The sequence below is a fragment of the Homo sapiens genome, chromosome 14 (assembly GCF_000001405.40).
Source record: "Homo sapiens chromosome 14, GRCh38.p14 Primary Assembly".
NCBI classification, from domain to species: Eukaryota; Metazoa; Chordata; class Mammalia; order Primates; family Hominidae; genus Homo; species Homo sapiens.
The window spans coordinates 105,976,189-105,997,668 of NC_000014.9; the positions used below are offsets into that span (position 1 = coordinate 105,976,189).

Sequence of the window (21,480 nt, forward strand, 5' to 3'; positions counted from 1 at the left end):
GTGTGTGGTATTCACTCATTGCACCACAAAGTGGACTAAGACGAAAAATCAGTATCAAGAGGTGGGGCTGTTGCGATAACAAATACCCCAAAATGTAGAAGTGGATGTAGTAATGCACAAAGACTGGAATAATTTGGAGGATCAGACTATAAAAAGTCTGGATTGCCCTGAATAGAACACTAGAGGTGATTCTTTTGAGGACTCAGAAGAAGAGAGCTGTGAGGAAATTCTGAAACTTCTTAGAGATTATTTAGGTGATGACCATTAGATGTCAGTAGAAATGTGGACAATAAAGGCCGTTCTGATGAGGTCTCAGGAGAAAAAGAAGAATAGCTCATCGGAAAATGGAGCAAAGGCCATCCTTGCCATAAAGTGGCAAAGAACGTGGCTGAATTGTGTTCATCCCTAGGTCCTTCTGTAAGGTGGAAGTTCAGAGCCATGAACGAGGTTATATGGTGGGAGAAATTTGAAGGAAATCTATGGCCTCACTTCTAGCAGGCACTTTAGGACTCTGTTCCCGGTGTCCAGGCACAGCACTCCTTGGCTGCCCATGCTGTGGCTCAGGAGGACCTAGGTGTGGCTCAAGCCATCACTTTAATGGTACAAGTCATCAACTTCCATGGCATCCATGTGTTGTTAATTCTGCAGGTGTGCAGAATACAAGAACCACGAGGGCATGGCTTTCTCCACCTAGATTTCAAAGAATGCTGTGGACGGCCTAAGGTCTCGGGCAGCCTAAGGACAGCCTAAGGTCTCGGGCAGTGACTTGTTGCAGAGACAGAGTCACCACACTGGGCCCTTAGCACAATGCCAAGCAGAAATGTGGGTTTGGAGGTACCACAAAGAGTTTCCAGTCAGCCTAGGAGAGCTAGAGGCCTGAGAGTCCCACCTGTGAGAGCGGCTGAGTGGACTGAACCCAGAAAATATATAGAGGCAAGACTGCCGGAGGCCTTGGGGGCCCATCCCCCTCCCCAGTGTGCACAAGATGCCGTTAAAGAGGATGATTTTCCAGCTATAAGACTTAATGTTTTTTTCCCTGTTGGGTTTTGAACTAGGCACCGCTTTCTCCTTGCCTCTCTCTGAGCTTTGGAATGGGAATTTCTATCCCATACCTGCCCCATTGTTCACTGTATTTGAAAGTAGATAACTTGTTTTGACTTTATAGGCTCGCAGATGGAAACAATTTATATCAGGCTAAATTGTGCCTCGAGTCACACTCATATCTGATTTAGATGAGACTTTGGACTTCAGACTTTTGCACTGATGCTGGATAAGACTTTGGAGACAATTGGGATGGAATGAATGTAATTTGCATTGTGATAAGGACATAAATTTTGATATTAGGAATGGAATGCTATGGTTTAAATGTGTCTCCCAAAGTTTAGGATCTGGAAATAATCTTTAATGCAACAGTGTTGAGAGGTGGGACCTTTATTATGTGATCAAGTCATGAAGGCTCTGTCCTCATGAATGGATTACTGTCACTATCAATGGAGTGGGTTAGTTATTATAGGAGTGAATTTCTAATAAAAGATGGTCTCCTTTCTCTCGTGGACAAATGGTCTCTTGCTCACCCACCTCTGCTGTGAGATGAGGCAGTGAGAAGTCCCTTGTGAGATGCCAGTGTCTTGATATTAGACTTCTCTGACTCAAGCACCATAAAGCATAAATTCCTTTTCTTTAGAAATTGCCCAGTCTCTGGTATTCGGTTATAGTAACAAAAAGACAGACTGAGACTAAGCCATTGTAACATGTGTGAGGTGATATCTTATCATGGTTTTAATTTGCATTTCCCTGATGATTAGTGATGTTGAGCATTTGACTCTTTATGTTGAGTGAAATAAGCCAGGTATAAAAAATTACTCCATGATCTTGCTTACACATGCAATCTAAAAATGTTGAACTCAGAGAAGTAGAGAGTAGAATGGTGCCTACCAGGGGCTGGCGTCAGGGGCATGTGAAAGCTGAGACGTTGGTGAAAGGGTACAGAGTTTTGGTTAGATAGAAGGAATTCGTTTGAAGATCTATTGCACAGCATGGTGACTTCCATGATACTAATGTACTATATACTTGAAAACTGATAAGAGAGTAGATTTTACACGTTTACACCATAAAAAATAAGTATGTGAGGTGATGGACATGTTTATTTACTTGATTTAATAATTTCACAATGCCCGCATACGTCAAAACATCACGTCATATCCCCATAATATATGAAATAGAATATGTTTTTCTAGTAAGTGTGATGCCTCTGTTTCTTTTTCTTTCTTTTTTTTTTTGGGAACAAAACAATAAACACCTTTATTACATGGGTGAAGACAAAACAAGGATTTATTTGCCTTTCTGGGCCTTGATTTTCCTAAGATAGAACTCCAACTCTTTGCCCTCTAGCACATAGCCATCTGCTCGGCCACACTGTCCCGGCCTTGAAGCCATGCACGCAAGAAGCTTGCCCTGCTGGAACTGCTCCCCCAGGAGACTGCTCATTTTGGCATTCTTCTTCCTTTCATCATATTTCTTCTGAATTTTTTTAGATCGTTTTTTGTTTAAAATCTCTTCTTCCTCAGGAGTCAGCTTGGCTCCCTTCTTGCGGCCCAGGGGCAGTGCACAGTGGGACTCGTACCACTGTCGGTAGGGCGTGCTGTCGATGAGCACGATGCAATTCTTCACCACGGTCTTGGTACGAACCAGCTCGTTATTGGATGCATTGTAGACAACATCGATGACCCTTGTTTCACCAGCGCAGCATTCTGAGCCCCAGGAGAAATTCCCCACGTCCAGCCTCGGGGCACAGTATTTCTTGTTACCTCCTCGCACACGGACTGTGTGGATGCGGCACGGGTCAGTCTTGCTGTTGGCAGCTGGGCGCCCCAACTCATACTTCCGCTTCTTGTGGCAGGGCCATCTCTTGCCCCCAGCTTTGCGGCCCTTGTGCCAGTTGTCCCGAGAGGTGCCCATCGCTCGGCGCTGGCTGGAAAGAGGGCCTCTGTTTCTTTAACAATACTTTCTGGAGATTGTTTTTCCCTTGAGCAATGTTTCCTCTCTGCTGTATTTACACAGTTTTCCTTTCCCATGGGTTGATTTAAGACAGTGACAATTTATTTATTCTATGTCTGGTAATTTCACTGAGAAACTTAATGAATAGCCACTTGAAACCATCTGGTGCCACTGAGAAACCATCTGAAGGACACAGATTTTCTGAGTGTAGGCCACAACCATATTTTAACACTTTTTAAATTCAAAATCGGGGTTTAAATTTTGATATTTTACTATGGCTTCTTTGATTCCCTCCCAAGATCTAACCATTGAGCGTGTGAAAAGGGCTGGGACCCAGGTTACGGCTGTGCTTGGCATGATGACGTCCTGCAGAAATTCCTTTGGCTTTCTACATGGAGCTCAGCCTCCGTATCAGCCAGCTCACCAGGAGGTCAGAGTACTTTTCAAAGATCCTCATTGTGTTGTTTCATTGTGAGAGGTTTCCAGCCCTCGTGAGACACCCCTTGGTTTTACAGTCATCACGAACTTGTTTACGATTCCGAAAACATACCTGCCATCTGTCCATATGTTTGTTCTGCGGCTTTTGATTTGCTAAAATGCTGTAGTAACTGCAATAAGTTCTACCATCTGGATTAATTTTCACCTCAGATGGAAGAGTATATTTTAAGATAAAGATAAAATAGTAATAGTATATCCTCCTTGGTAGTATCCAGTTCTATACTTTGAGCTATGGTCTGTCAATAAATAATGTTATGCCAGGGTCCTCAATGGAGTGCCTGAACATCTAAGGAAGGTACAGAAGTTTCCCTAACTAAGATAGAAACCATGGTGAGCACAAGTTTGCTATGCATCCATGTCTCCGGTCTGTCTCACTATGCACCTGACACTCATTTTAACCTCACCAGGAAGTCAGTTAACTTCCAAATCAGTTTATTGTAATGCTTCTAGGTAATTATATGTGGCAATTTCAGGCAGAAATGAATAAAAATCTTCACCAGAGAATCTAATACAGAAGAATGCAAGAGGCCCTGGGCTTGTTTTCATAAAAGCATCATACACCAGGCAGTTGATTCTTTCAGCTGTCGGCACTGGCTCACCCAGCATGCGGGCTTCATCCCCTAAGTAAGCTTCATCATGCATGGATAGGCTGGCGCCTTTCCTGAGGCCATATGCCGATGGATATGCAGCACTGTGCCACACGTCCACAGAGATACAAAATCCCTGATGGGAAGAACGAGGCTGGATCAACGGGACTGGCAGTTTCTCATTGAGGAAATGTGAGGTCAGTTTCTATGGTGGGCAATTCAGGAAATTACTCAGCAGTTTTGTAATTGATGGTTATGGAAAAATGAACCGTTGAGATGACTAATGACTTACATTCCATTATTCCAAGTAAGAAACGGACATCACAGTTCGCTGTAACTAAATTTTCATAACCAAATGGATTACTTTAAATTTCTTCCTACATCTTCTCTTAATAATTTTTAATAACGAATGTGTCTTACCTATATTCCCAATATTTAAAACTGGGTTGTCAAGAGAGTCTAGAGAATTTGAGAACTAGGAACAGTGAAACTCCTGTATGTTCAGCAGCTCCCAAAGCAACACAATATTCCCCAGGAACACTGTTCTGTCCTCCAGCATAATTCATGCTTGTGTATTTCCTAATGGCTCCAATAGTGACCCTCCATTCCCACCAAACATTTGGCCTCCCCTCTCTCCACTTCCCCTCCATTCATACATTACACTCTCAGCTCTGTCTAGGGTGTCATAAAAGCCAGCGGACGGACCCTCCTGATCTCCTGAACATGAAAGCCAGCACTATCATGTGATGGGCTCCTCTTGGCATGGTGACCTTCAAAGGCACCTCATTTAAATAATCACCTTTTTTTTCCTTCTGTAACAAAGTGTTTCTTTCCATTGTGCCTTCCCATAAGCAGTTTAACATAATTTACTGTCCGACCACAGTTATTAATACACACAAATGCCACAACCTCTTTCTAGCCCAAGAGACCTGATTAATTCTTCTTTGGGGATGAGCACACCCTAGAAACACATCCCATTCACATAAACACGGGCACACCGATGACGTGTTCTTGAGTCTACACCATTCTCCGTCCAACTCCATGAGCCCCTGAAGACCAAGACAGGCTCTTTCACACCTGTGCAAGCTCCGGCCCAGGGACGGCCTGCTGAGGAATGGGCTCAGCTGGGTCTGGGTGCTGGGTTCATCTCTTCCCCTCTCCTGTCCCAAAGCAGGTCCATCACCCTGCTCAGGTCTGAACAGGAGTGTCTAGGTTTTTCTGGCCATCCGACTTTTTCAATGTATAGAAGCTCTCCTATTACCTACTGTATTCATTTTATAGGGCTTTTATAACGAAATACCACAGATCGGATGGCTTACAATACAAAACCAATTTCCTCACACTTATGGAGGATGAAAGCCTAAGATCAAGCTGCCAGCTGGGTGGGTTTCCTCTGAGGTCTCGCTCCCTGGCATGCAGATGGCGCCTTCTCACTGTTCTGTGGTAACATGGCCGTCCCTCGGGGCCTGTGCACCCTCCCTCCTGCTTCCTCTTCTTATAACAACAGTCAGATTGCATTAGGGCCCCACTCCAGGAATCTCACTTTAACTTATTCACCTCTTTAAAGGACACTAATCCAAGTATGATTTCATTCTGAAGGACCAAGGGTTGGGACTTCAGCACATGAATTTAGGAGGGACACAGTCTCCCCTAGCAGCCTCCTTCAGGGATGTCAAATAAAAGGAATAAAAGGACACTGATGCTCCAGAAGGCCTTGAGAGTTTGCAGCTGCTTTGTTGTGGTGGGACGTGGGTAGGCCTGCACCTTATCTATGATGGCAGATGGAATGACTTTAGTTTTACCCAACCAGATGACACCAACTATTTGACTGATAAGCCTGGACCCTGGATTTTGTCTGTATTAACCTCCCATCCTCTATTCAGCAAGTGAGACAGCAAGACAGGGGCTGTAATTTATAAGCTGAAAAAAGACTCAGAGGTTATCATGATAACACCAATGTAGTGGAAAACATGTATCCCCTTTGGGTCAGCCCATCGACTGAGGTTGGAGGTCACTAGGCTGTGAGATTTGGGCTGTGTAAATATCCCTGGAACAAGACAGTAAAAGTCCATTGTTCTTTTTAGGTTAATGCAAATTGATCTTGACTCTGGGGCAACAGAAATGCTGAAGAAGGTATTGACTAAACTGATAAGGAAATGCTACGTGGCTAACACCTCTCCTATTCTCGTCAGACTGGAGGAGATATTAGGAACAGCTGCATTCACTCGGGAGACCACCTTATTTAACTCCCAGTAATCTACTGTCATTCTCCATGTCTCAACTGGCCTCTGCATGGGCCATGCAGGTCTGTTGTAGGAACCATGCAGTGGCCTCCTAATGCCTACCTGGGCTAGCTCCTTAACAATCTTCATGATTGGATCATCTTCCCCTCCCAGGGCAGGTGGTGTTGCTCCAGCTGTGGGACTCCCCATGGGTTGGCAGCTCTACTGGCATCCAGTTTGCCTTCTGCTTGGTCACACACATCACCACTCTAACTCTCCGTTGGAATTCCCTGGCCGTTGTTTGGAGGGTCACGCCTAAGAAGATATCCATTCTCATGTGTTCTAGGATGGAAGCTGTGTATACTACACAGGGTCTGGGTGGCAGTCCCCCAGGTCGTATCACTAGTTCAACCGGTCTGACTTCCGTGGCCCTTCCATAACCACCTATTGCCGCTATGGGCCCAGAGAACTGGTAGGTGTTGCCAGTTAGAGCACATTCGTTGTCTGGCCACCCTGACTGGCTCCTTGGCTGTCTCTCTTCCTTTGGTGCCATTGTTCTTCATCACAGTAGGGTGCATCCCTTGCTTACTCAGTTTCTTCTTTTCTCCTAAGTCAGCAACTACCTGGGGCACATGAAATGTTGGCTGCCCTCCCAGGGGGCTTAACATGGAAATCAGTGCACCATGCCATTGGGTAGGCACTGAATACATAACTGTAGCTTTTATTTTGCAGTAAACAATTCATTGTTGGGACTTCAATAATTCTCAGCATAATTAGCATGCCTCATCTCGACTCCCAGAAGATATCCTGCAACTCTTCTATAGTCTGCCATTGAGAACGAGCTGTGGGGGCATCTTCCTCATTGGACCCGGCCCCCTTGGAGCCTGCAACCACTTACCATAAAGGTGCCATCATAGGGCTGGATGGTTTGTGATGGGTGTCATTTTACTCATCTTGAGTCCAGAGAGTATAATACTCTCCACCCCCTATCCCATAGAGAAGCCACCCTGTGATCCACTCTCTCCCCTTGTGTCTGAATCCAATTCTAAGCTCCCCCAATTCCACAGTGGTGGAATTCCGCATTGTGGTGCACTGCCTTCTCTTAGGTGGGGGAAAGTTCTGTGGGGCTAACTTCTGCTGGCACAGTTGGCCCACTTTTATGTTGGTGGTGACCACCACAAGTACCATTTGGCTACAGACTGTGTCCTGGCATTCCAAGGCTTTTGTGTCTGGAAGGCATCCTTTAGCCAGCCTGCTAAAGGTTGTTCCGGATGTGGAGTGGCCCTCTTTGTCACATCCTACACTCGTAAGGCATGACATGTAGTGCAGTTGCTACTCCTAAACAGTATATCTCACTTCAGCTTCCTTCTGTCTTTGAGACCAGGGTCTTAGGGACACACACTTATGTCCTTGCCTTTAACACAGTCCCCACCTAAACCCCTCAGGGTAACTGACTACATCCAATTCACAGGGCTGTCCCTGCACTAGAACTCCCAAGGTTTGTATTCATTTCACTGTGACTTCAGCTTCTTCAGAGCCCTCATCCTCCCTTTTGGAACAGTCGCAGTGGGGCACCTTCTTGTCTAAGTGCCATGGGGGCCCAAGGGGTTTGCCGAAATGGGGAATAAAGGATCGCCAATGTCCCAGGAGGCCTTGGGAGGTTTCCAACTGCTTTGGTGTGGTGGGACATGAGTAGACCTGCATCTTATCTTATCTATGATGAAATATGGAATAACTATAGTCTTATGTAACCAGATGACACCAAGTATTTGACTGATAAGCCTGGACCCTGGACTTTGTCCGCATTGACCTCCCATCCTCTGTTCACCAAGTGAGACAGCAAAGCAGGGGCTGCAGAGCAAGAACCTTTATGGACTCATCCTAACCTTCATCTCCTTCCCACTGGAGCTCTACATCGGACGCCAGGACTTAGGCTCCCAGGATGACGTAGTCATAGTAGTCCTAATGCATTGGTGTGGCAGTCAGCAACACTTTAAATGGCCTACCAAATAAACAATAGTCTCCAATTTGCTATCCTATCCCTACAGGCGGCATCTCATTATAGTTACAACTGTTCTCGTGGCTGACACACCCTAGCCTGTGCAATGAGCTCTGCCTCAGTGGTTGCTCAGAGTGCAGTCAGGAGTGGCCAACAGCTGCCACAGCTCAGGAATCTGACTGTCACTTTGTCACATTGTCACATCCACCTCAGGCAACAGGTCCTCCAGAACTTTTGGCATTTTGGAGGCATCCCCGTACACATGCAGCGGGCCCCATCCATCAAGGATTGCAGCTGTTGGGCCCACAGAGATGTGCATGGCCTGCCTGGGATTTCCTCACAGGTCTCCCCTTCCTTGACGCTGTTGTCTAAGAGCTTGCAGGATTTTCTTTGACCTTGTTCTGGGCCTACCAGTTGTCATGCTAGACCCCTATTGACTGTAATAGGCGTGGCACCATGTCCAAAAGGCTGAAGAGGAGACCTGGAGCCCATGAACAAGACCTAGGGTGTATTGAGGACTTGCATACAATGTGGCCCAGGAAAAGTGTGTTGGACAGGAAAACCACTACCATTTGTAAAACACATGTAGTTTATATTATGATTTTCACTTAGCACCCTCTACCTAGCAACCTCCAGATTTAACAAAGAGCATCAATCACCTGGACATCCTGTGTTCCAAGGGATAGGCCAGGGATTCAGATGTCCTTCACAGACAAGGAATAAACTTCTGGGTTGACAGCTCCTGGATTTCTTAGCTCAGAGCTCTGAACATACATTCTTCATAAACTATAGGGTCATTCTTACAGTGTGCTTAAATTAACGCTGCCAGGCATTTCTGGCATACATAGATCTGAACACACACCTCATAAAACAATGTATAAAAAAGTGTTCATCAAGACTTTGTATTAAGAATATGTATATTTAAAACAACCATTAAATACTGCTACTCATTTACTATAATATTACAACGGCTGCACAGCAAAGCATTAGTGAATACTGACAAGGCTCCAGAAAAGAAAATCTTATTCACTGTTGGTAGGAACGTAAAATGGCACTTCCTTTTTGGAAAATATTTTCAGTATTTCTTTGGAGTTAAACATGTTAATTGAACAGATGACTCTAAGGTACTTTATTCAACTGTTTTTTTGTTTTGTTTTGTTTTGTTTTGTTTTGAGATGGAGTTTCACTCTGTCGCCCAGGCTGGAGTGCAGTGGCGTGATCTCGGCTCACTGCAACCTTCACCTCCCAGGTTCAAGCAATTCTCTGCCTCAGCCTCCCGAATAGCTGCGATTACAGGCACCCACCACCACGCCCAGCTAATTCTTTGTATTTTTAGTAGAGAAGGGGTTTCACCATCTTGGGCAGGCTGATCTTGAACTCCTTACCTTGTGATCCACCTGCCTCGGTCTCCCAAAGTGCTGGGATTATAGGCGTGAGCCACCATGCCTTGCCTATTCAACTGATTTTAATACTTACTTCTACACAGATACTTTCATGGGAATGCCGGTATCAGCTTTCTTCAGTAGAGCTTTTCCTCCTCCATGAATTTTGCTTATAGGGTGATAATTATATAAACAATTCCCATATAATTGGGCCAGGCGCAGTGGCTCACGCCTGTAATCCCAGGACTTTGGGAGGCTGAGGAGGGTAGATCACCTGAGATCAGCAGTTTGAGACCAGCCTAGCTAACATGGTGAAACCCCGTCTCTACTAAAAATACAAAAATTCACCGGGCATGGTGGCGGGTGCCTGTAATCCCAACTACTCTGGAGGCCGAGGCAGGAGAATTGCTTGAACCTGGGAGGTGGAGGTTGTAGTGAGCTGAGATTGTGCCGTTACACTCCAGCCTGGGTGGCAGAGTGAGACTCTGTCACAAACAAACCAAAAAAAAAAAAAAAAATGAAAAAACTGAAAAAACAAAGTTCCCATATAATTAGAGTATATACTTCTATTGTTACTTTTTTTCAATTTATTAATGACATACTGTAAACAACATTAAAAATAGTAATCCCTTTCATTTCTCAGCCCCAGCACAGCTGCCTCCTCCCTGGGGTTTCTGACACCCTCAGGATGTGGGTTTTCACACTGTGTCTCTCGCACAGTAATACACGGCCGTGTCGTCAGATCTCAGCCTGCTCAGCTCCATGTAGGCTGTGCTGATGGACGTGTCCCTGGTCATGGTGACCCAGCCCTGAAACTTCTGTGCATAGTTTGTGCCACCACTGTTAGGGTTGATCCATCCCATCCACTCAAGCCCTTGTCCAGGGGCCTGTCGCACCCAGTGCATATAGTAGCCGGTGAAGGTGTATCCAGAAGCCTTGCAGGAGACCTTCACTGAGGCCCCAGGCTTCTTCACCTCAGCCCCAGACTGCACCAGCTGCACCTGGGAGTGGGCTCCTGTGGAGAGAACACAGAAGTGGATGAGATCTCCCTGGACTGGACTCAATCTCTTTCTCATCACTGGGACTAGGGAGCCTCTTACCTGTGGCTGCTGCCACCAAGAAGAGGATCCTCCAGGTCCAGTCCATGGTGAGGAACGGAGCTCTCAGGGGATTCTCTAGAGGACAGATGTGGTTGCTGGGTGATGCTCTCAGGGCACAGGACAGATCTGTATTTACTTCAGTAAATCTCAGGTTATTTGCATATTCATGAGGGATACTATTTCATAGCTCTAGACTTGATCCAAGATGAGAAAGAGAACACACATAATTTATGGGCCATGCAACAGTGGGACGCTGAAGTCCCTGTCCCAATCCTTGTTTAATGATGTGTGTCCCCTTGTATGCCCAGAACTCTGCTAAAATAGATTGTCTGCTGAAAACAAGTTCCCGCAGAACATGGTCCTCCAAGTGAACCCATACTTAAATGGCACTTTGACACCTTCATACTTTTCTGGGCTTTGCTTTCTGCATGTCTTACTACTGTCTCTGTTAAGATTGGCAAGCACTGAATTAATAAAACCATCCCTTTTCTCCATCTCCTACCTATTAAGATATCTGAAAATCCTAGAAATTTCTCCTTTTACATGTGATTCTCATTGACTTGTTAGGTTAGATAAATCCTACAAATAGAACTGTATACTGAAAGACACAAAGACACATCAATAGTCTTTACTAAAGTCTTGTTTAACTTATTAAAGCATGTTTGTCCGAGAAAAGGAAGACATCAGACCCTGGGAGGAACCCCTCCCCAGCCTCCCTTGCACCTGCTCCAGGGCTGCAGCCTGTGCTGGGCGAGGCCCTAGCGCTCCCTGCCACCCAGACCTTGCACTGCAGGGAGCTTCCCATTGGGTCTCACAGAGCATTTTTCTCTCAGCCTCTGTAGCTCACTAGGAAGTGACTGTGACCTGGCTCAGAATGCTCCTTCAGTGACAACATGAGCTGATGACACCACCTCTTGAAATAGTGAATGGGCCTTTGGAAACCCAATGTCCTCTTCAGGGTGGCTCCAAGAGAAGAATCGCTAAAATCACCAGGGAGTCCACTTCCTGGAGGTCTAGATGCACTGGATCACTGGAAACAAAGGGAGGCTAAAACTCTGGGGGGGTTGGAGGTGGCTCTTTTCTCATTTCGGCTCTTGCAGATGAATACTGCATCTGAGAATACCTGAAGCTGCAGATGGATGTGGATTAAAGCTCACTCCACGTCCGCTGTTCCAATAACTCCTACTCAAACACACAGAAACACAAACACAAACATTCTCACACACACTGTGGCTGATTTTCACAGTTATGGACCCCTAATTTTTCCTTCTTCGTAGTATCTTACTCACGGGAAGTGCCGCCGACCCTGACCCTAGGCCTCAGTATGTGACTTTCTTTCTCAAACAGATCTAAAGCAATCACACTGCCCTCTTTAATCCATATTAATGATGCTGTTGAGGAGGTAATGTGTGGGGCAGGGGAGCATGGTATGTTCTTACAGTTGACTCTCCCTGGTTTGGTTGCCCTCTTCTCCTGAGCAGTGACCTTCACAAGGAATCTCCAGTGATACAGCTGATTTTCTCTCTTTCCTCCCTTCTGCAGATGCTGCACCCAGGGCTACCGCCTTGAATCTGACTCCTCTTGGCTAATTTTATCATTTGCGTGATAGAGGAAGGCTGAGGAGGAGGGGTCTGTAATTTGGAAGTATTTCCTTCCCCCACATAAACTAAGATTTTGGAGAATACCTTCCCTTGGATGAGCTTTCTAGAAAAGTCTTTTTGTGCATCTTTTCTCCGTGATTACTCCTCCCCAGTTCATGGCTATAGGGAATCTATTTTAATTGCTTCCACGAGAACCTGAAGGCCCTGGAGGGCAAGTCCACACAAGTGTGGGGTGTACAGCCTCTAGGAGTGCTCACCCTCCCCCTAGTCCACATTTGTCCTCCAGACATTCAGCATAATCACCAGGTAAATGTTCTCACCAATGTGTCTCCAGGAGCTTCCCTTCCAAGTCAGCAAGTCTCTGCTGTGACTGTGGATGTGCCTGTCTCTACAGCTTTTGGAGGGAGTAGTTTTTTCAGCAATTTCAGCTCTTAGATGGATTAAAAAATACTTGATATTTAGATGGTTTGGAGATATATATATATAAAAATATATATGTATAATATATATAAATATACATATTATATAATATATAAATATACATATTATATATTATATATACATATTATATATAATATATAAATATGTATGTATAATATATAAAAATATACATATATATTATATAAAATATATATATAATATATAATATATATTTATTATATATATATATATATATATATATAAATTTTTTTTTTTTTTTAGATGGAGGCTCACTCTGTCGCCCAGGCTGGAGTGAAGTGGTGCGATCTCAGCTCACTTCAATCTCCACCTCCTGGGTTCAAGCAATTCTCCTGCCTCAGCCTTTCAAGTAGCTGGGATTACAGGCTAGTGCCACCACGCCTGGCTAATTTTTGTATATATTTTTTAGTAGAGACGGGGTTTCACCATGTTCACCAGGCTGGTCTCAAATTCCTGACCTCAAGTGATTCCTCTGCCTTGGCTTCCCAAAGTGCTGGGATTACAGGCCTGAGCCTATGTGCTCCTCTGGTTCAGATGTTTTTTGATGTAGAAATGGAGCTAATGACTTTTAAGATCATCACATATGTCAGCAAAACCCTGAAGTCCCCTAAGAGGTCATGTGTGTTCTGGTACTGGAAGCAGAACCCTAATCTCCCTACACAAAAGTGACATCTGGACAGACACAACTGAACATGTGGGGACAAAGGGAATGGCACAGCAGGACACTTATGAGGAAGTTTCAACAGTTTCCTTTTTATTCAGAGGAAGCTGCAGCAGGTGAGAGCTGGTTATACCTCAGGCGATGTCATTTTCTGGAAGGCTGTTCTTGCTCTTGTGCTGGATCAAGTGGATGCACCTGGGCCCTCACACCTGGAACAGGAACTCTCATTCCTTAACACAAGGTGCTCGGTGAGACAGTTGCTTCCAGCTGAAGTGCAGAGAAAGGGGAGAGAAGGAGTTGTCTCTGGTGTCCCAGGATGTGTGTCAACTCTAGGATAAGGTCACCTTGGAGGGGCAGTGGTCTACCTTAGGGGATTACATCAGTTCTGCCTTCAATAACCTGTGGCTGTGGTCAGGAGTGTGACTCATCCCCTTCTGCTCCTCCTACCTGCCTTTCATTAAATGTGCAATGAATGAGTGATCCCTCACCAGAGAGTGTCATGGTCTAAACATCATGATCTCACACAATAACATCCCCACACCCAATCTCAAATACATTATAGACCCCACTCAATCAGCAATTGGCAAATAATTTGCTCTTGTAGATTTGGTGAATACATTTGCTCGGCGTTCATTTCAACAGCCTCTCAGCCACATTTAGCAAAGTGATTGACAAAAATGAACATGTCTCTATCAGCAAATAGAAAATATAAAATCACCGAGTTGGTTGAAACGTACACTATTAACTCTGAACAAATATAATAAGAAATTAGGCATATCACAATGGCACACAGTTTGTTTTACCCTAAAAATATCCCCTGAGCTTTGCCAAGTCAGTCTCTTGTCTTTCCCCAAAAGCCCTGCCTATCACAAACCTGTTTTTAAAATCCTTTTAATTTTACTGTATTTAGCAGGTCTCATGAATGGAATTGTACAATACTTAGTCTCTTTTGTCCATCTTCCTTCACTTAGAAAAAATGTTAAAATGTTGTCTTCTGAATTAATAACCCATAGTTTTTATGACTGATAGTATTCCACTGTATGAGTATACAAATATTTGAGAATCAATTCTGTTGAAATACATCATGTTTACTTTTGTATTTGGTAAATATGAGTATCAGTTTATGACAATTGATACTGAACAATTTTATATATTCTTATTTTCAGATAACATTTTTTCTTGGTGAGGTGTTTGTTCAGATTTTCACTCATTTTAGAATTCTGTTTATATTATGCTTTCTGTTGAGTTTTACAAATTCTTTTTATAGCCTAGAGACAAGACCTTACAAACAGTAAAAAGAAATAGTTTCTGATTTTGAATAGATTCAATATACATACATAATTTTTAATTGTTATAAGCACATAATAGTATATATATTTCTATTTGTTGGGTATATGTGATGTTTTGGTACAGGCATACAATGTGTAATGAACAAAGTAAAAAAAAACTACAATAAATCTATAAAACATTGAGGAAATAAAGAGGACACAAGATGGAACAATATTCCATGTTTATGAATTCAAAGATTCAATATTGTTAAAATGTCCATAATACTTAAAGCAATCTACAGACTCAGTACAATCCCTATGAAAACAACAATGATATTCTTCACAGAAATTTTTAAAAAATCCTAAAATATATGTGGAAAAACAAAAGATGCAGAACAGCCCAAGCCATTCTGAGCAAAGAGAACACAACTAGAGAAATCACATTACCTGACTTCAAAATTTATATTTTTATTATTGTTAATTATTTGATCTAAAAGTTATGTTTCAAACAATGAGAATAACAATACGTTAAATGAGTCTGATGTATGTATACTTGAAATTAATGGCATCAATTTTATGAATGATGGAGGTAATTGAGAATGTTCTGTGTGAGGCACCTGCACTAGATTTGATGTGGAATAATGTCATTTTGAAGATGGAGACAGATTAGTTACACACGCATATTGTAGGCCATGGTGCAAAGCAGGCTCACCATGCAAAAGTGACCAAAACGAGGCCACGTGGGTTGTACACCTCAGCAGCTGTGTTACCCACTGGGACAAAGCTCTGAAGGACATCCTGCCTCCAGGGGAGAGAAGAACAAAGCCCAGGGTGTCCCTGGCTGTTTTTCCCTAACTCAAGATTTTATATCCTCTAGGAGAAACAGGAACAAACCTGAGCTGTTCCAGACAGACAGGATGTCCTTGGCTCTGTGCACGTTCAGGAACAAGATCAACTCGTTCTGAGTCTCTATTCAGTGATTTAGGTTCGGGGAAATAAGAATGCAGATCTGAAATTATGGAGCTTTCAGAAGGTTTTCATGTGTCTCAGTGCAATTTCTTCATGTGTTATTTTGGCTTATGGTATTGATAGGCCCACAAAAACTAGATTTAATTCAATAATTCAAGTGATAGAGCAAAACTGAAAGAGCTGAGGGGTTTTCTAGCAGGATTTAGAAAGTTTAAAATACTTCATCTTAGAAAATGTATTTGCTGGACATTGATGGGACTGGAGTAGAGATGGATGTGGGGGAGCCCAAGGATTGTGTTTTCACACACACCACAATGACTTCTGCTGTCCCTTCCTTCCCTCTCTCCCTCTCTCTCTTTCTTTCTTTCTTTTCTTTCCTTCCTTCTTCCTTCTTCTTTCTTTCTCTTTCTTTCTTTCTTTCTTTCTTTCTTTCTTTCTTTCTTTCTTTCTTTCTTTCTGTTTCTTTCTTTCTCTCTTTCTTTCTTTTCTTCTTTTCTTTCTGCTGAGTGAGCCCAGAAGTACACACAGGTATAAAACTCACTGAATCACCATTAGCTGTTCTTCCTTTTGCCTCCCACCCAGGTCAGGAGGAATTACAAGTCCTACGGAATTCTAGTTCTAAGAGAGTGAGAATCTTTATATGGCTGATTATTCCAGAATTTTCTATAATGATGCAGCTGTTGTTTCTTTTAGCCAGTTTTTATTGAATTCTGTTCTTTTCCATTGAGTCGTAAAACTTATTTCTATATTCTGTTGCAAGTTTGTTTTAAGATATATATATATATATATAAAATATTCTTGAAATCTGAAAGTTTCTGTTCATTTTCTTAATGTAATTATTTAAATATGAAACTTATTTTATTATAAATTACAAATAATTTTTGCATATATTTATGACATATGTTGTTTAGTTATGATACATGTATACATTATGAACTGGGTAACTCAAGCCGCTTATATTCATCACCTCACAAATTTATCATTTCTTAGTGGGGAAATTCTAATGTTTATTTTTTTAGTAATTTTGAAATATATACTACCTTATCAGCTATAGTTGACATGCTGTGCATTAGAAAGGCATAACTTATACCTCCTGTCTAACTGGAACGTTGTGCACTTTAACCCACATCTCCCTTTCCCAGTCCACCCCTCTAGGCCCTGGTAACCAACATTCTACTCTACCTCTGCAAGTCTACTGCTTTAATATATACAGTGAAATCATGAATGACTCTTCCTCTGTTCCTGGCTTGTTTCACTTGGCATAAGGTCCTCTAGATTCATGCATGCTGTCACAGAGGCAGGGTTTCCTTCTTATTTAAGGATGAACATTACTCTGTTGTGTCTGTATGCATTTTCTTTATTCATTCATCCATTCATGGGAATTTAGGATGTTTCCATATCTTTACTATTTTAAATAATGCTGCAATGAACGTGAACATGGAGTGCAGATATCTCTTTGACATGTTGATTTCATTTCCTTTGGATACATAGCCAGCAGTGAGACTGCTGGATTCTACAGTAGATTTTGTTTCTTTATTTTTTGAGGAACATTTATAGTATTCTCCATAAATAGCTGTATTCATCTACATTTTCACTCTCCATATTCTGAGTTCTGTTTCTGTCATTTCAGCCATCTCAGCCCCATTCAGAACTGCTGTTGAAGAGGTGCTGTGGTTGTTTGGAGGAAAGAGGGCGCCCTTTTTGTTTTCAGGACTTTTGCACTGGTTCTTTCTCATCTTTGTGGGCTTATCCACCTTCAATCTTTGAAGTTGCTGACCTTTGGATACATTTTTATTTTCTTTTACCCTATTGGATGACCTTGAGGGTTTGATTGTGGTATAAGGTGGATTCAGCCAACTGGCTTCATTTCTGGAAAAATTTAGGTGGCCAGTGCTCAGCTCCCAACACCTAGACTGTGTGCTCTGACTCTGGGGGAAGTTATACTAGTCCCTGACTTGGTTCTCCGGCTCCTTAAGGTTAGGAATCCACTGTCCTGGGCTGTTGGAGGTGTGGCAGCTGTGGCAGAGTGCTAGTGGGTGTCTGGGTGCCTGCCTCCCTGCAGGTGTTCGCCACAGTGGCAGAGGCATTGCGTCTGTGGGTGTGTGGGGCCCTGTTGGTGACTGTGTTCAAGGTCACACTGGAGGAGGTGTTGGCTCAGGGATGGGACACTTGTGGGCACAGGCCCGGGTGCCGTATTCATGCCCCACAAGCAGGAGTGATTTCTGAATGTGTGAGATGATCTGCTATTCTCTGTGCAGAATTAGCGCAAGTGCGGGACGCTGACAGGAGCGGCCCTGGCTTTTTCCCCACCAAAGCTTCCTCTGCCATGGTGGTTGGGGTGGGGGGAGGGGACTGCACTCCACGCAATGGTGGGACAAGAAAAGCAAAACCCACCTATACAGACATGTGACTGCAAAGTGATGTGGGAAGTTACGTGGGCCTGGGTGAACCTACAGTATTCGGAGGAAGTGTGTAAGCTGGTGTGTGCACATGAGGGCTGCCCGATTGGAGCTCTCCACCAGTCAGGCATGTTCTGCCAGGGCAGAAATTTTGGTGCGGGATCCCAGGGCGTCCAAGACTGCCCTGCAAGAAGGTGTGGCCAGGCTAGGGCCCCAGGAGAGGCCAGTAGATGGAGGGGCACTCAGGTCCCTACATTATTTGAGAATGTGGCCATGTTTTATGTGAATGAGTGATGACTTGATTGTAATGCAGCATTTTATTCCAGTACACAAACATATCTCAAATTGTTTAACATTCACCTGTAATGGATATTCAATGTGTTCTCTCAGTTTCTGGCTTTTATACGGAAAGCAGCTATTCAGTGTGGGAATGTGAAAAAAATGAGAAAACTGTGATTTTATTCTGACCTCATTAACAACGAAGCTGAACAGCTACAAATAAAAGAGAGAAAAAACATTCAACATATCTGAGTTGATTTCACCAAGCAAACAAGAAAACTGAAATCTGAGAAGATAGGAGCCTGCAGAGAGAACCAGGACCTACCTGCTAGTGTACATAGGGCAGGTGCCACTGGATGGCATTTGAGATAGAAACAGACTAACCTAGAAATACTTAATGACTTTTTTTTTTTTAGTATGCATGTACTAATGGTGTTAGATTGGCCTAGTGCTTGCAAGCTTTTCCTAGAGAACTTGAAAAATCCACGGACAACTTCCTCATCTGGTGTCTTGTGGTGTTGACTGGGGAAAAGAACAGCAGCTCCTGTGGAATGCCTGAATGCACCTCCACTACCTCCAGGGGAAATCCACCAAAGCATGTGTCATATGAGCTGTGGTGAAGTCAACAGAAACAAAAGGAAACAGACGACACCAAGGAAACTTGATCCAGAAACACCTCCTATCTCTTTCCTCAGGAAAGAAATCCTTACTCTTTAGGGTAAGGATAGTGGGTAAAAAGCTGGGGACACTGGTGAAAAACAGTTGTGTCTGGGAAAAGACGTTCCAGCCCTGGGGAAAGAGTTAAGGACAGGACAATGTGGAAGGCCACTCCCCAGAACTATGCTTACTACTCCTGCATAAGAAGGAGACTCAGTCAGAAGGTTGGAGGAAGTCCCGCTTTGTCCAACCTCCTTCACCACACAGTCATCAATTTAAACTGTCAGTAGGGTGCACTTTCCACAGCTGAAACAGACAGCCTCCCTGGGGAAAACTAAATATAAAGACCCAGGATCAAACAGGGACACAAAAGCAAGTATCATGGGAGGAACTTGAAATCTCTGTGGACAGCAGAAGCTGACTTCAACTCTGATAATTGTGGCATCCATAAATTGCAAATATAGCCCTGAATAGATACACACAAATATCTATAATGAAGGCCCAGCAGAATGGAATGTGTTACCATCTTCAGGAAGAAAATAATGAATACATGAGTACAAGAAAATAAATTACAAATTAAAGTCAAACTGGAATTCTATATATATTAAAAATTTCATTTAAAGCGAAAGTCAAATGAATACCCTGTAAGACAAATCGATTCTGAGAAAATTTATTGCTAGTGCATTCATCCTTCAGTAGGTGCTTTGGCAAATTTTCCGCCAGGGTGAGTAGCCATATGATATACATCCGAAACATGAATCTATCCAAATAAAAAATGTGGTCAAGAATGAAAAAATGAAGTTGAAATGTAGTTTTTATATTTTTAATTGTTCTAATATATGTCTATGTAATGATAAAAATGCACATATTATATTTTATAGCACATATAAGTGCAAACTGAGAATAAACTAAGACAACGGATGAGAAAGAGGGTTTAGAAGAATAAGTTATAATAGCTCTACAACCTATGAAGAGGTTTTACGTTATTTGAATTAGAATCTGATTATACACAATTCTTATTGTATATCTTAGGGCCAATACAATATTCATAAAAGATGAGCTAAACAATAAGTTAATAGAGAAATAAACATGATCATAAAATGCCAAATTAAAATAGAAATTAACAGAAAAATAGTAATACCAGTTTTAAAATAGAATTTATTATAGTTGATTTAAAAAGCAAGACCCAACTACTAGCTCTGTACAGAAATTTGCTCTACATAGAAAAGTTAAATACAGGAAAACATGGACTATGAAAATATGAATGAAAAGAAAGCGTGCTTAGCTATGTTAAATTCAGACAAGGTAGACATAAGACTTTCAGGAATCAAGGGGCATATTACATAGGGTAAAGGGATCAGTTTTCTAAAAGGCATCACCAAAGATTTAACCAATGGATCTGGGATAGAAAATAGGCTAACATCTATAACAGATAGCGAATTCGACACTTACTGTGATTGACAAAACAAACGTGATAAAATAGGTAAATATATAAGTGACCAGAATCAACTTATTTGACTAGTTTCATTTATAGAATATTCAATGGGAAGACAGCAGGAACCCAAACTGTGATTAACCAGAAGATATGAGAGGAACATGGTGACTGAATTTGATGTGGTTACCTGGGTTGAACAAAGAAACAAACAAAAAGCAATAGGAAAGTGAGACCTTATCTCAAAAAGAAAAGAAAAAGGAAAAAAGGAAACTGTTAAAAATTGGCAAAATTCAAATAAATCCCAGAGCTGAATAAACAGAAACTTATCAATGTAAATATATTAGTCCCATGTCCCATGTTTTTTTTGACATATTAACTTTAGTGAAAACTTGGAGATGGATGTGAACACACTGTATTTTCCTTACAATTGTTCTGATAACCTATAATTATTCCAAATAAAAAGTGTGTAAAATATAAAGTAACAATCATAAAAATAATAGTTCAAAGACCTTATAAAATAGGCTTCTGAAAATAATAAAATTGTTACTAAAATTATTATGGATAATTATTTCAGAGGATAATCCTGAAATGATCATCGAAGTGGTGGACAGATGTTTATTTATTTCAGAAAAAGATGTGAGGCATCTCATATTAAACGCTAGTGATGGAAGTGTTTATAGAGTTGTTTTATCATCTATAATATGATGGATGAAAAGCATTATCATAAGCATTTGATGGATGAAAAGCATTACTATCATAAGCATTTATGTAGCCAATATCATGAACGTATTATAATTTCCTCAGTTGTGCACCATTTTTGTGTTAATACCATGTGAACGTTTTCTACTGCATGTGTCATATCTAAACATTTGAACTAGTTTGTTTGTTATTAATGTGACTCTTGTAAATGCTGTAGGCATTGCTGATGTTCTCTGTAATTTCTCTACTGGTGTTTTTTTCCTAATAT

General features: G+C 42.3%; 1 pseudogene, 1 gene segment (V, D, J or C) and 1 further gene, besides 1 other annotated feature; all 3 read right to left on the reverse strand.

Moving 5' to 3' along the window:
* Positions 1-21,480, reverse strand: part of IGH (immunoglobulin heavy locus) — a 1,293,408-nt gene that overhangs the window by 389,752 nt on the left and 882,176 nt on the right.
* Positions 2,280-2,981, reverse strand: RPS8P1 (ribosomal protein S8 pseudogene 1; annotated as a pseudogene).
* Positions 3,643-4,842: an enhancer, noted in NCBI's record as "P300/CBP strongly-dependent group 1 enhancer chr14:106445918-106447117 (GRCh37/hg19 assembly coordinates)". NCBI's record gives its function as "activates an origin of replication core promoter dependent on BRD2, BRD4, P300/CBP, MED14 and CDK7 cofactors, with strong dependence on P300/CBP, by STARR-seq in HCT116 cells {active_cell/tissue: HCT116}" and the evidence as "EXISTENCE:reporter gene assay evidence [ECO:0000049][PMID:35650434]".
* On the reverse strand, positions 10,394-10,831 carry IGHV1-2 (immunoglobulin heavy variable 1-2). The segment is given in 2 exon segments: positions 10,394-10,700; positions 10,786-10,831. Coding segments are annotated over 2 exon segments (353 nt in total), but the record flags the coding sequence as incomplete, so codon positions are not given.